Raw genomic sequence first — 14,504 nt, forward strand, 5'->3', positions numbered from 1 at the left:
CTCCTGAGGGTCTTGGCGTAAATCTAAGAAGAATTCTTCCATTTTAAAATTTGTTATATATTCATTTATTAAACCTTTACTAAGTCTTACTATTCTAAGGCAATTACAAAAGCTCTCTTCAGTCCTTACCTCTCTCTTGTCTTCAGTACTGCATACTTGACTGCCTCATGGATCTTGCCATCTGGATGTCAACGTGATAATATCATCTTTTGTATAGGTAGTTGAATTTGGTTTGTACATATTTTGTTAATATTCATTACTTTGTTGTTTTATCCATGAGAGAGATTGGCCTTTAAGTTTGTTGTTGTTGTTTGAGATAGAGTCTTGCTCTGTCACCCAGGCTTGAGTGCAGTGATACAATCTTGGCTCACTGCAACCTCCGCTCCCCAGACCCAAGCGATCCTCACACCTCAGCCTCTTGAGTAGCTGGGACCACAGGCACACACCACCATGCCTGGCTATTTTTTGTATTTTTGAAAGAGACAGGGTCTTGCCATGTTGCCCAGGATGGTTTCAAACTCTTGGGCTCAAACAATGCTTCTGCCTCGGCCTCCCAAAGTGCTGGCATTGCAGGCATGAGCCGCTGTGCCCAGCTGGCCTTAGTTTGTCATGTAATGTCTTTTTTGAATTTTGTATCAGGGTTATATGATGACCTGGTGAATTGTATTTTGATAATAGTGTAACTCTACCATCTTTCCTTTTTTTAATATTTGCATGACATCTATTTCTGTCTTCTTACTTTCACCTTTTTTTGATACTAACATTCGAATTGTGTCATTTACAAGCAGCCTAAAATTTGATTGTTAAAATTCAATCTGGCACTCCTTTTTCTTTTAATTAGAGTATTTACTTCAGTAATACTTGGTGTAATTACTGATATATTTGGGTTTAAATCTACCCACCATGTTTCTGTTTGTTCTCTATTTGTTCAACCTATTCTATGTTCCTTTTTCTCTCCTTTATTGCCTTTTAAAAATTAGTCCATTTCTTCATCTGCTCTCTTATTTGTTATACATTATTTTATTATTCATTTTGAGGTTACTTTGGTGATCACAACCTACATGATTGTCTTAGGAAAGACTAACATGGCCGGGTGCGGTGGCTCACGCCTGTAATCCCAGCACTTTGGGAGGCCGAGGCAGGTGGATCACAAGGTCAGGAGTTCAAGACCAGCCTGGCCAACATGGTGAAACCCCGTCTCTACCAAAGATGCAAAAAATTAGACGGGCATCATGGCTTGTGCCTGTAATCCCAGCTACTCGGAGGCTGAGGCAGGAGAATCGCTTGAACCCGGGAGGCGGAGGTTGCAGTGAGCTGACATCACGCCATTGCACTCCAGCCTGGGTGACAGGGCAAGACTCTGTCTCAAAAACAAAACAAAACAAAAAAAAAAAAAAAAAGGAAGGCTAACATAAATTAGTAATTTTACCTCTTCCAGGACATTGTAATTGCAAGGACCTTGGATCATGTTAACTACATTAATTCTATTCTTTCCTTTTGTGCCACTACCATATATTTTAATTCCACATATATATTGAACTCCCCCAAAATTATTATTTTGTACAGTCTGTATTAATCTGTAATTACCATATACTTACACTTTCCATTGCTTTTTTTCCCATTTTTTCCCATTTTTCCCATTCATTGCTTCGGTTGTATTTGTGATTATTTTATTCTGCCTGAAGAAAACTGTTTTTAATAGTTCTTTTAATATAGGTCTCCTGCAGGTGAACTAACTCAATTTTCTTTATCTTAGAATATCTCTATCTGCCTTTAATTTTTGATGGAAATTTGATTGTTAGCAATTTTTGTCTTCTGGCTTCCCTTATTTTAGTTCTGACTGTTGCTCTCTTGAGTGTAATTTATCTTTTTTCTTTTGGCTGTTCTTAGTAATTTTATTTCCTGTTGTCTTTTCACATTTTACTATGATGGTCCTAGTTTTGCATTTTTGCTTTTGTATCTATGTTTATCTTCTTTGTAGTTTATTGTGTTTCTTTAATCTGTGGTTTGCAATCTTGAATCATTTTGGAAGCTTGGCCATTGTTTTTGAATATTGCTTTTACTCCATTCTTTCTTTCCTCTTTTTTGGAATTCTGGTCATATGTATGTTAGGTTTTCTCACCATGTCTCTTATGCTTTTTTTTTTTTTTTGTATCTTCCAAATTATTTCCAATCTCTTCCTCAATCTGAATAGTTTCTAATGAACTGCGTTTCATGTCCCTAATTCTCTCTTTGGCTATTTGTGAGCTGCTTTTAAGCCCATCTATAGAATTCTTAATTTTAATTATTATAATTTTCTGTTTTCCATTTGGTCTGATTTTTATTTTATTTAACTGTTTTCTATAGAGCCATTTCTGGGATAAAGTTATCTAGTTTGTCCTCTGTTTTCTTGAGTATATTAACCAGTTATCTTATAGTCCATTCTGATAACTCTATTCTGTATTCTGTATGTCTGTTTCTATAACATATTCCTTAAGCTTGGTATGTGTTCTTATCCTTGTGTCTGTCTAGTAATTTTTATTTTATTTCACACATTGTTTTTTAAAAAATTATTGTGATAATTTGAGAGTCTTGAAGGTGCCTTCCTCCAGATACCACTTAATGTTGCTTTTGGCAGGCAATTCATCTAAGACTATGTTACCCTAATGCAATAAAGCTTGAGTTGATTGGAAACTGAATTTCAGTACTTGTGTAATAATCTATTTTTTGTTGACCTTTCTACTAGTTTAATCCCAGTTTTAGCCCTTTAGAGCCCCATCTGAAATTCTGGGGCTATTTCCTGGTCATATCCACCTGGATGGGTCCTGAACTCTAATATTTATCTCCTGTATCCAATGAAGCTGCCGAAAGTTCTCCTCAGTTTCTTCAGCTCTCAGCATCCGCTTGCAAATAAGTAGGCCATTAGTGGAATACCTGCTCCAATGTTGGGCTCACCTGTTTTCACTTTTCTTTGTTCCCTCAAGTCTTAGCCGTTTTTATAGCTCTCTGATTCCTTCAAATGGGTAATTATAATTGTCTTATCTAGCTTTTCTAGTTTTGCTCTCTGGAAGAGTTGGTCTGATCAAGTTAAACTGCTGTAAACAGAAATAGATGTTTCCAAATGTATTGATTTTTATTGTTTCCTGGGATACAAGCTCTACAGTCATTGGTACTTTATTTTCTTTGTATCTCAGGTGACTAGAAAAGTGCCTGACATTTAGTAGAAGCTCAGTAAATATTTATTTGTTGTTTGTTTTTATAGTTGAGCACTGGACAGTCTTAACTCCTGAGATGAATATGTCTGCAACTCAGTGATCATGGGACTGCCTATTACATATTAGTGAGTGGTAAAGGTTTGGGACCTGCTAGATTGTTATTCCAGAGTGGGGAAAGATTACTCCACTGAATAAATTTTAAAAGGGTTACTGAGTGAGAGAAATATAATTGTGTTTTATTATTTCTAAAATATATTTTGTTAAAGTCAATGTGTGAGCTACAAATGAATGACTAAATCAGTTTTTAAAAAGTATTTCTTGAAGGGAAGGAAGGACAATGGTTAGTAAAGATAATGCTTTCAAAGTATTACTTGATGCTAACATGACTAGGTCTATATACACATTATCTTCTTACAGAACCCTTACTGCTAACATGCTACTCTCTCCCAGATTATCATGTATTCACCTTTGACAGACCCCTGTGCCACAGACTCCTATTTGGTCTCTACCCAGATTTGTATTTCTGGCACGGGAACCTTGCCCTTTAGTCTACTTAGGAGTTGTACTGTCAATCACCAACCGACACTGCATGTTTCTCTTAGTGCTTTTAAAAAGAAACTACCTTGTAACAATAAAAATTCTCAATCAGCAGCAGGGAATCTAGATTAGAGGAAAAAAAGTACAGTTTCTCCTTCCTAATTACAAATTAACTCCTAAATATAAAAAGAGTATGATATATTGTTTATAAAAATGCTTCCTACAATTTTTCTCTTTTCTGTATGCATTCCTTGCATAATGTCTATCAACACTTTCCATCAAGAGGTGAAGTCTGTTACTATAGCCCTTGAATCTGAACTGAGCTATTTGACTTGCCTTGGCTAATAGGATATTAGAAAACAGGGCACAGTCAGAAACTTTAAAAGTTCTGGTGCACTGGGATTGCCCTACATTGTTACTTTGAAACAAGACCACTCTTCCTTTGGAAAAACTTGGGCTAACCTGCTAAATGCTGGAGACATATGGTCCATTCATCATCTTTACCCCAACCAGCTTCCCAATGTGTAAGTGAGGCCATGTGGAACCAACTAGGCCTCAGTCAACCCACTATCAAAAGAATCACCAAGCTGAGCCCAACTTAGATTGCTGACCCATAGAATCATAAGAAGCTACTACATTTTATGGTAGTTTGTTACATAGCAAAAATTAAGTGATCCAGAGAGAATCATGACCATCATTATTAATCATTTTCATGGACCATTTTTATGTTTTTCTCAGTTGTGTATGTCTGCATTCTACATTTGTTTGCATATTATGGTAGTATTCATTACTGTGCTTGAGATTAAAGATGTATAATTACTTAAAGCCTTTATTTAATACTATTGGTTAGGCTGGAAGAGTGTTACATCCTAGGAGGATAAACGAATAGATGTTTTTCTTCCTGTGCTGTCTCAGAAAGTTAGTTCCAAATTCAAAGTTTTTCTTGAAAATTTGTGAACAGATTTTATATTTTTAAATTGCTTTATCCAGCAGCCCTGATTCTACATAAATAAGTCTTCTGTCTGTGAAATAAAATTATTTATTCCTGGACAGCAAAAGTACCCTTTTATATCAAGCACCTTAGAAACCATGGGAATTTTAGATTTCTGTAGCCAAGATGGATGAGCACTTATTAACTACAGGATGCCCAACCTTGTGAGTGGACTGATTTTTATAATTTGTGAAGCAATTTGTTCTTAACTCCTCTTATTAGATTGTATGCCGTTAGAAGAATGATGAAGGTCCATGTTCCATGTTCAATTCTAATAAGTACACAGTGAATGGTAGCTATTCTTGTATCACTCAGTCTCAGATATATACTAGAGCACCTTAGTCGTTTATAGCAAAATAGATTTATAACTTGTACTACAAGTGCAGATGACTTGCCAGTATCAGGATTAACAATACTTATTACAGTCAGAGAACCTCAGAAATGGCTGCCTACAACCAAGGTATTGTTTGCATTCTACTGCTGCGTCCGTTGACTTTTAGTGGGGTTGGATTGAGAAAGTGTTCTCATTTAAAAAGTGTTCTGGATCACAAGCAACATTCTACTTACATCCTGGAGAACACAGGATGTTACTTTTCTGTTACTTTTAACACTTGTAAAATGCACATGCAAAAATACTGAAAATTAAAGTGAAAGGAAAAAGGAAGAATGGAGGAAAAGAAGAAGTAAAGGAAAGAAGAGAGCAATGGAAGGGGAGTGGGTGAGGGAAAAGTGGGCATGTAATCTGCCTATCTAGGAAAATTAGCCTAACGTAATTGCATATATGAGATAATGAGCAGAGTCTAAAGTTGTGGCTGAGTTTTCAACAGTTGGTAAGCAAACTTCAATGATGTTTCCTTTATTCAGAGAACAATTCATTTCTAGAAACACATAACTGATGTAGCATCAGAAAACTCTGTCTTAAACACATTTATTTTGTGGTGGTGCATCATTTTTTTATATACTTTCATACTTGTACATTATAATGTTGAGCTTTGTACCACAATGATTATTACATCTTTGTTATTTACTCATAGTGAGTTATGAAACTATATGAATATTTTCTGTTAAACAGCTAAGCTTGAGGACATCCAAGAATGCAAACATCCTCTATAAGATCTTATGTTTATTTTTACAAGTACATTAGCTGTAAGCAGGATAATAACTATAATATCTAAGGAATTAAGACTGGACAGTAGCGATTTGTTATAGGCTTTTGCTGCAGTATGAAGAAGATTTCTGTAGTTGAAGATAATCCCTGAATCCTAAAAGGACTGTAGAAAATGCATAAGACAAAAATTGTACTTACATTTAAAAAAATAGCAAAACTGCCCAAGTACAGTATGGAGGAAATAGGCTTAGCAGCAGTGTACATGAAAAAGACTAAAGGGATTTAGGCAATGTAAGTCAACAGTGTGAAATAAATTCTAAAACTAATTTCATCTTGAGCTTGAGCTCTATTAATATAACTAGAACAAGGGGAGCAAGGATTTACTTTATTCTTGCTGATCGTTATGGAATTCAGATCTAGGGACATAGGCAGACTGGAACACATTTAGAAAAGAGCAGCCAGCATGGAGAATATTTTTTTATATGGGGTGTGGCTAAAGAAACAAAATATACATGGTGATATGGTTTGGCTCTATGTCCCCATCCAAATCTCACCTCAAATTGTAATCTCCATAATCTCCATTTGGCAAGGGCAGGACCAGGTGAAGGAATCCAGTCTTGTAGGCGGTTTCCCCCATGCTGTTCTGGTGATAGTGAGTGAGCTCTCACAAGATCTGATGGTTTTATATGCATCTGGCATCTCCCAGGCTTGCACTTACTCCGTCCTCCCTCCCGCCCTGTGAAGAAGGTGCCTGCTTCCCCTTTGCCTTCCACCATGATTATAAATTTCCTTACAATCATGAGAACTGTGAGTCAACTAAATCTCTTTCCTTTACAAATTACCCAGACTCAAGCAGTTCTTTATAGCAGTATGAGAATGAACTAACATACATGGTTTAAAGCAAGCTTGTCCAACCCACGGCCCAAAGACCACATGCAGCCCAGGACAGCTTTGAATGTGGCCCAACACAAATTTATAAACTTTCTTAAAACATCATGAGATTTTTTTTTTTTTTTAGCTCATTAGTTATCCTTAGTGTTAGTGTATTGTATATGTGACCCAAGACAATTTTTCGTCTTCCAGTGGCCCAGGGAAGCCAAAAGATTGGACACCCCTGCTTTGGAGTAAAGAAGACTTAAAGAACATGATAGCTATAGTAGTTAGCATGTTTTCAATTACAAGTAAAATCATAACCCATCAAAGTGTTTTAAGTAACAAAGATAATTTATGGGTTCTTATAACTTAAAACTTCAGGAGTACATTGTATTTTAGGTGAGGCTCAATTCAGTGGCCTGGTTAATCTTTCTCTCTACTTTGCTTTCTATAGTGTTGGCCAAAATTGGCTGGCACTGTCTCCTTCCTTGGGACAATTTAACTGCTGGTTTGCTAGCAATAATCAGAGCTGTGTGCTGCTTCTTTCATATCAAGCAAGTGTTAGAAAAACCTTCTTTCCCCAGTAGCTCGATGGAAAAAAGAAGAATCTTCTTTCCCCTGACCCCAGGAAGTATCTCTTGTATCTCACTGGCCAGAGTTGTGACTTGTGCCAATTTCTGAACCAATTATAGTGGGCCATTGGGATAATGTACACAAAGTAGTGTAGCTAATCAAAAATCTACCTCTTGAGCAGAGATATTATATCTATCAGGCTACTAGGAGAAACAGAATCAATAAGAAGTAGATAAATATATATATATGATATCTTATTATATGAAGAAATTTATTTCAAGGAGTTAACTCACCTGATTGTGGGGTCTGACATATGTGAAATCTGTAGGACAGGCCAGCAGGCTGGAAACTATCTGGTAGAAGCTGATGTCGTGGTCTTGAGGCAGAATTTCTTCTTCCTCTGGGAAACTTCAGGCCTTTCAACTGATTGGATGAGGCACATCTACATTATTAAGGATAATAGCTTTTAATTAAAGTCAGTTGATTGTAGATATTACACATATTTACAAAATACCTTCATAGCAACACATAAGTTAGGGTTTGATTAAATAACTGGGCACTGTAGCTTAGCCAAGTTGACATATAAACTACCATGGATGTGATCAATCTTTCCCAAAATATGTAACTGAAATTATGAGTTCCTTTTAGAATTGACAGATTGGAAACTAAGGTAGCCAACAAATATCCTTTACAGTAGCTAACAGTACATGTATGAAAGGCTGCTCTGGGGAATAGGTTTTCAACTTGCTTGACATAGGGGAGTACTAGGGACAAAAGTTATAGAAATAGTGATAAAATAGCTATCAAGTAAAAAAGAACTGTTTAACAAAACAGTAGTGAGTTCCTATTACTGAGAATGTTCAAACGTGAGCTGAGGACTGTGGTGTAAGACCCCAGATTAAGGCCTAGTTATTATGTGTTCCTTAACTTCTGGGGAAAGTAGTGTTTTGCTTAAGTGGAGTTCACTAGAAAACAGGTATAATTTTATTTTACTCATATTAATATCAAATAGTACCTGAGATATTATGTCTGTCAGGATTCTCCAGAGAAACAGAACCAGTAGTATGTACACACGCACACACAGACTATATATATATGTGTGTGTGTACATATATATGTACTCTCCGCACTATATATACATGTATTCTCCACACTATATATATATGTACTCTCCACACTATATATATATGTATTCTCCACACTATATATATATATATGTACTCTCCGCACTATATATATGTACATATATATGAGTGCATATATATGTACATGCACACACACACACACGTCTCACTATATATATAACCCATATATATACCATATGTATATATATAGAGAGAGAGAGACAATGTGTGTGTGTGTGTGTGTGTGTGTGTGTGTGTGTGTGTGTTCATGAGGCATTTTATTTGTAAATTTGTATTACATCTCTAGAAAAAGAATTGCAGCATTTTCCCTCTGTGTGTTTTCTTCTTGCATCTTCGTGGTCCATGAGGCCGGCTGAGGTTGTCATTACAATGAAACCAAACTGGCAGGATGGAAACAGATTATTCTGCCATTTTTCTAGATCTTTGAGTTGTACATCAAATCTGGGGGCTGATCACTCCACACTTGTTTAGCCTGCCTGTGAGGTTCACAACAATTTTCCTAGCAATGTGATCATCAGTGATTTCAGATTCGCCCATGTAATCATGCTGCATCATCACATTGAGAAACCGGACAATAACTTCGGAGCTCGGCCTAATAAGAACCTCATTTGCCTCTCTTTCTGGCATTGTTGATGCTCTTGAGAGCATCAGCCAGGACATCCATGTGCACCATTGTGGTGGCGTGGAAGGAGCTATAATTTATATTTTTAATATACATATATAAATAAATTAATTTTTTCTCAAATAGCCTAGCCACAAGTTTCTCTCCCCACTGTATTCTTGCAGATAAGGTTACCTAGCCAAACAACCCTTTTTATCAAGGGGATCAGGCATAATTTTTGCTTATCCCTCATTAGCAGGTTCAATTCCTGCCAGCTCAAGGGATTATCCAAACAAGCCAATCACATTCTTCTGGGGACCAGGGGGCAACCCAACCTCTTAAAATCTCCTTCTCACAGCCCCTGGTTTTGCAGTCTCTTCCTGAGTGCAACCCCTATGTGACCCTGCATGGCAAGTAATGTCTTCTTCCCTTCGGCTGGGAGGGGAATATATGTGATTAATAAACTTTTGACTCAGAAGACTTGCATGCAGCCAATAAACATATGAAAAAAGCTCAACATCACTGATCATTAGAGAAATGCAAATCAGAACCACAATGAGATATCGCCTCACACCATCCAGAATGGCTGTTATTAAAAAGTCAAAGAATAATAGATGCTGGCGAGGTTGCAGAGAAAAAGGAATGCTTATACACTGTAGTGGAAGTGTAAATTAGCTCAACTGTTGTGGAAGACCGTGTAATGACTCCTCAAAGACCTAAAGTCAGAAATACCATTCAACCCAGCAATGCCACCACTGGGTATATACCCAAAGGAGTATAAATTGTTGTATTGTAAAGACACATGTGCACATATGTTCATTGCAGCACTATTCACAATAGCAAAAACATGGAATCAACCTAAATGCCCATTAATGGTAGACTGGATAAAGAAATGTGGTACATATACACCATGCAATACTAAGCAGCCATAAAACAGAATGAGAACATGGCCTTTGCAGGAACATGGATGGAGCTGTAGGCCATTATCCTTAGCAAACTAATGCAGGAACAGAAAACCAAATACCACATGCTCGTGGTTATAAGTGAGAACTAAATGATGACCACACATGGACACATAGAGGGGAACAACACACACTGGGGCCTACCAGAGTGGGGAGGGTGGGAGGAAGGAGAGGATCAGGAAAAATAACTAATGGATACTAGGCTTAATACCTGGGTGATGAAATAACCTGTACAATAAACCCCCATGATACAAGTTTGCCTATATAACAAACCTGCACATGTACCCCTGAACTTAAAAGTTAAATAAAATAAATAAAATAAAACAAACTTCTGTTTCATCTGGCCAGTGTTGGGCCAGATGAAATCCTGTGTTTGGCCATATTCACAACTTAGAATTGGAATCCCTCTCTCACCAATGGTATATACAGGAGGTAGTTAAAACAATGACTCTCCTTTCTGTCCACTTACACAGCAGTGATGTTGTATTGGGGAAAAATTCAAGTATCAGTTATGTGATAGTAACAATTGACTTGTGAGTTGCCTTTCAATAGCAAGATTCTGTTATTTCTGTGTTTCCAATGCTAGTATTAGCATTTTAATTTTCCCAATAAGAACAGGGCAATTTGTTGATTATTCTGTTAGTGGCACCCATCAGATTATTTTGTAAACTGTTTATACATCTTTTCCTCTCAGCTCAAAGTACAGAAAGTCATGCTTTATTAATCTTTATGTACACTCCAAATAACATAATGCCTGACCCATAGCAAATATTCATTTACTTTCTCCATTGGAATTGTATTTAAAAATTACTAATGAGCTGTTGAAGTTCACCTTAAACAACATACCATGTAAGTAAATATCATTAACGTAAATTATCCAACACTGTTGAAATCCAAACTCACTCTACCCACCTTTAGACAGAGGGAATGACATCTTGAGAGCATTGCCCAATTTTCTCTTCTCATTCACCTTCCAAAATGCATGCTAGTTGCCTTAAGGCTTCTGAAGAACCATAAAGGCAGCATCTCACTTTGTGTAGGAAGAAGAATTAGTATAGCTGCAAGGTGATCCCAATTCCTGCCTGTCTGTTGGTTCTGAATGCTCCATTCACTTCAGAATCCCTGCTGAGAGATAATACATTGCTTCAGCAAGAAGGCATTTATTTTAGTCATAGTTTCATTCCTCAAGTTTATAGCTGCATAGCACCCTATTCTAATTTATAGGAAAAACATGGAGAAAGCTAAAATGATTGGTTTGAACATATTTGACATCTTTTTTATGATTTATATTATAGTGTTGTATTTAAATTGGCTTACTCGTTATTCTTTTGATAGAATGACATATGCTTTTTTCTCTACCCAGAGATTTAAGAAATTTTTAAGAAAATATGAAAGACCTGGTTTGACATAGGAATTTTTCTAACTTATGAATATATTGTATCCCTTCACAAAGATATACAATAAATTGTGTTTATCAGCAGTAATAAAATTACATTAAACCAGCTCTGGTGTTTGAAACCCAAGATGTATAGTTTCCATATCCATGTCTTTATACAACACTAAGCACTCAATAAATATATATCGGTTAAATCATGTAATAATAGAATGTGCTCCCTTCCATTGATCATAGACTTTAGAAAGACTTCAATCTAACAGAAGTGTTTTCTCTATCTCCTGGGTTTACTCACAGTAAACAAATCCGAGCTATGCTGGGCCAGTTCAGCCAGGCAGAAGCCTTATTAATGAAAGCTGGAGTGCAGCCAGGAACTTTTGATGGAGTTCTTATGGATCTTGGGTGTTCCTCCATGCAACTTGATACTCCTGAAAGAGGTTTTTCCCTTCGGAAAGATGGCCCTTTGGACATGAGAATGGATGGTGGCAGGTGAGTATTCATAAAGCATTTCATCTCACAACAAGAAATCAATTTGTCAAAAACACTCTGAATTTAATTTTTTTAAGACTACAGAATTTCCATTACATGCCTACACCTAACACTACCAATACATAATAAATCAGTTTGTTTCATACTCATTATACACATCAGTATTTCTCTGGATTTGGGATTTTTAAAGAAAAACAATGATTGCCTTTACACAAAATAGTGAAGAGGATAACTTTCATACTGATTATCTTTTTTACTTACACAATATGGGTTTTAGAGTGTTAACCAATGTCAGTAAATATCATGATACTGCAACAACGATTTCATTTTTTTGCATGCCCAACTATGCCTCTTGTGAGAAGCAAAAAGAACTACATATATTTAATGCATCCTCTTTTAGCATACAGAAAAAAAAAAAAGGCAAGATCCTAGAAGTCAGTAAGTGTGTTTTGTCCTGTCTTATGCAGTCACTTTGTTTGAACCTTCTCCAGAGAAACTGTAATTTATGATATGATATCAAACACAGTACTATAATAAGATATCTTTTACACCTCCTCTTCCTGGAAATACTAGCATTTATTCTCCATTATTCAAATAGATTAGATAACACAAAAACAATCATATTCTAGGAAAGTGTAGAAATAATTCTTTTCTTTTTTTTTTTTTTTTTGAGACAGAGTCTCGTTCTGTCACCCAAGCTGGCATGCAGTGGCATGATCTCGCACTGCAACCTCCACCTCCCAAGTTTAAGCAATTCTCATGCCTCAGCCTCCTGAGTAGCTGGGATTGCAGACGTGTACCAGCATGCCCGGCTAATTATTTTTGTATTAGTAGAGACGGAGTTTCACATGTTGTCCAGGCTGATCTGGATCTCCTGACCTCAAGTGATCCACTTGCCTCAGCCTCCCAAAATGCTGGGATTATAGGCGTGAGCCACCATTACCGGCCAACAATTTCTTTATATTAATTGTCTAAATTAATGTTAAAAGCTTAGATTAGGACCTGTGTCTATTCTCAGTACTGACCTAGGGAATGGACAGCCTATACCTGTAAAACTTAACTGTGGTTTTTTCTCTCATACCATGCCCCACCACAAACTGCTTTGTTTTGTGGTAATTATTCACATATAGCCTTTTTCCCTATGTTGTGATACGACCTGTTAACTTGGCTTGTGACCTGTAGTTGTTGGGACTCTGTTGTTCCTAAGTGTTATACCTTCTTTTGCACATGTTGTTGGTATTCACAGAATGAAGAATGTAATTATAAAAGAAAATAATAAAAATCCTTTAAAAACAAGTAACTAATAGTAAAGGTGAAATACAGTCTCATGTGTGGAGATGGAGGTGGTTGTGTAGAGGTAATAAAACATCAAGCCAATTTCTGAAATGCAATGAACAAAACTTCTAGTTACTAGTAGTAAATCCCATATTGTTAGTTTAAAGACTTATCAGCAAATTGTAGTTTGTGAATCAGGGTCCCTGTGGTTTTCCCAAGAGCTTGAAAATAACACTGACACTGAGAATTTAAAATTAATACCTAATGGATGAAATTAGAGTTAAGTAAATATATCTTAAAATGTTGAATGGCTTTCAGGTAGATGGTATAGACTATAACTTAATCAAAAGATTTTTTTTTAGGAGAATACATTTATTTATTATTTATTTTTATTTTTTATTATACTTTAAGTTTTAGGGTACATGTGCACAACATGCAGGTTAGTTACATATGTATACATGTGCCATGGTGGTGTGATGCACCCAGTAACTCGTCATTTAACATTAGGTATATCTCCTAATGCTATCCCTCCCCCCTCCCCCCACCCCACAACAGGCCCCAGTGTGTGATGTTCCCCTTCCTGTGTCCATGTGTTCTCATTGTTGAATTTGCACCTATGAGTGAGAACATGTGGTGTTTGGTTTTTTGTCCTTGCTATAGTTTGCTGAGAATGATGATTTCCAGCTTCATCCATGTCCCTACAAAGGACGTGAACTCATCCTTTTTTATGGCTGCATAGTATTCCATGATGTATATGTGCCACATTTTCTTAATCCAGTCTATCATTGTTGGACATTTGGGTCAGTTCCAAGTCTTTGCTATTGTGAATAGTGCCTCAATAAACATACGTGTGCGTGTGTCTTTATAGCAGCATGATTTATAGTCCTTTGGGTATATACCCAGTAATGAGATGGCTGGGTCAAATGGTATTTGTAGTTCTAGATGCCTGAGGAATCGCCACACTGACTTCTAAAATGGTTGAACTAGTTTACAGTCCCACCAACAGTGTAAAAGTGTTCCTATTTCTCCACATCCTCTCCAGCGCCTGTTGTTTCCTGACTTTTTAATGATTGCCATTCTAACTGGTGTGAGATGGTATCTCATTGTGGTTTTGATTTGCATTTCTCTGATGGCTAGTGATGATGAGCATTTTTTCATGTGTCTTTTGGCTGCATAACTGTCTTCTTTTGAGAAGTGTCTGTTCGTATCCTTTGCCCACTTGTTGAAGGGGTTGTTTTTTTCTTGTAAATTTGTTGGAGTTCATTGTAGATTCTGGATATTAGCCCTTTGTCAGATGAGTAGGTTGCAAAAATTTTCTGCCATTCTGTAGGTTGCCTGTTCACTCTGATGGTAGTTTCTTTTG

The 14,504-nt window shown here is 36.6% G+C and overlaps 1 protein-coding gene and 1 pseudogene across 11 annotated transcripts in view; one reads left to right on the forward strand and one right to left on the reverse strand.

The window, feature by feature from the left end:
* The window catches only part of METTL15 (methyltransferase 15, mitochondrial 12S rRNA N4-cytidine), a 424,088-nt gene that overhangs the window by 170,144 nt on the left and 239,440 nt on the right, over positions 1 to 14,504 (forward strand). For 10 of the 11 annotated variants that reach the window (XR_007062458.1, XR_930849.3, NM_152636.3 and 7 more), the window contains one exon: positions 11,675 to 11,866. The exons of the other annotated variant lie outside the window; for it this stretch is intronic. Coding sequence is in view for 8 of the 10 variants with exons in the window: in NM_152636.3 (NP_689849.2) it covers positions 11,675 to 11,866 (192 nt within the window). In the remaining 2 variants the exon portion in view is untranslated. The remainder of the gene's footprint in view (positions 1 to 11,674; positions 11,867 to 14,504) is intronic. 11 annotated transcript variants of the gene reach the window in all.
* Positions 8,665 to 9,112, reverse strand: RPS15AP31 (ribosomal protein S15a pseudogene 31; annotated as a pseudogene).

This window comes from Homo sapiens, chromosome 11 (assembly GCF_000001405.40).
Source record: "Homo sapiens chromosome 11, GRCh38.p14 Primary Assembly".
Lineage (NCBI taxonomy): Eukaryota > Metazoa > Chordata > Mammalia > Primates > Hominidae > Homo > Homo sapiens.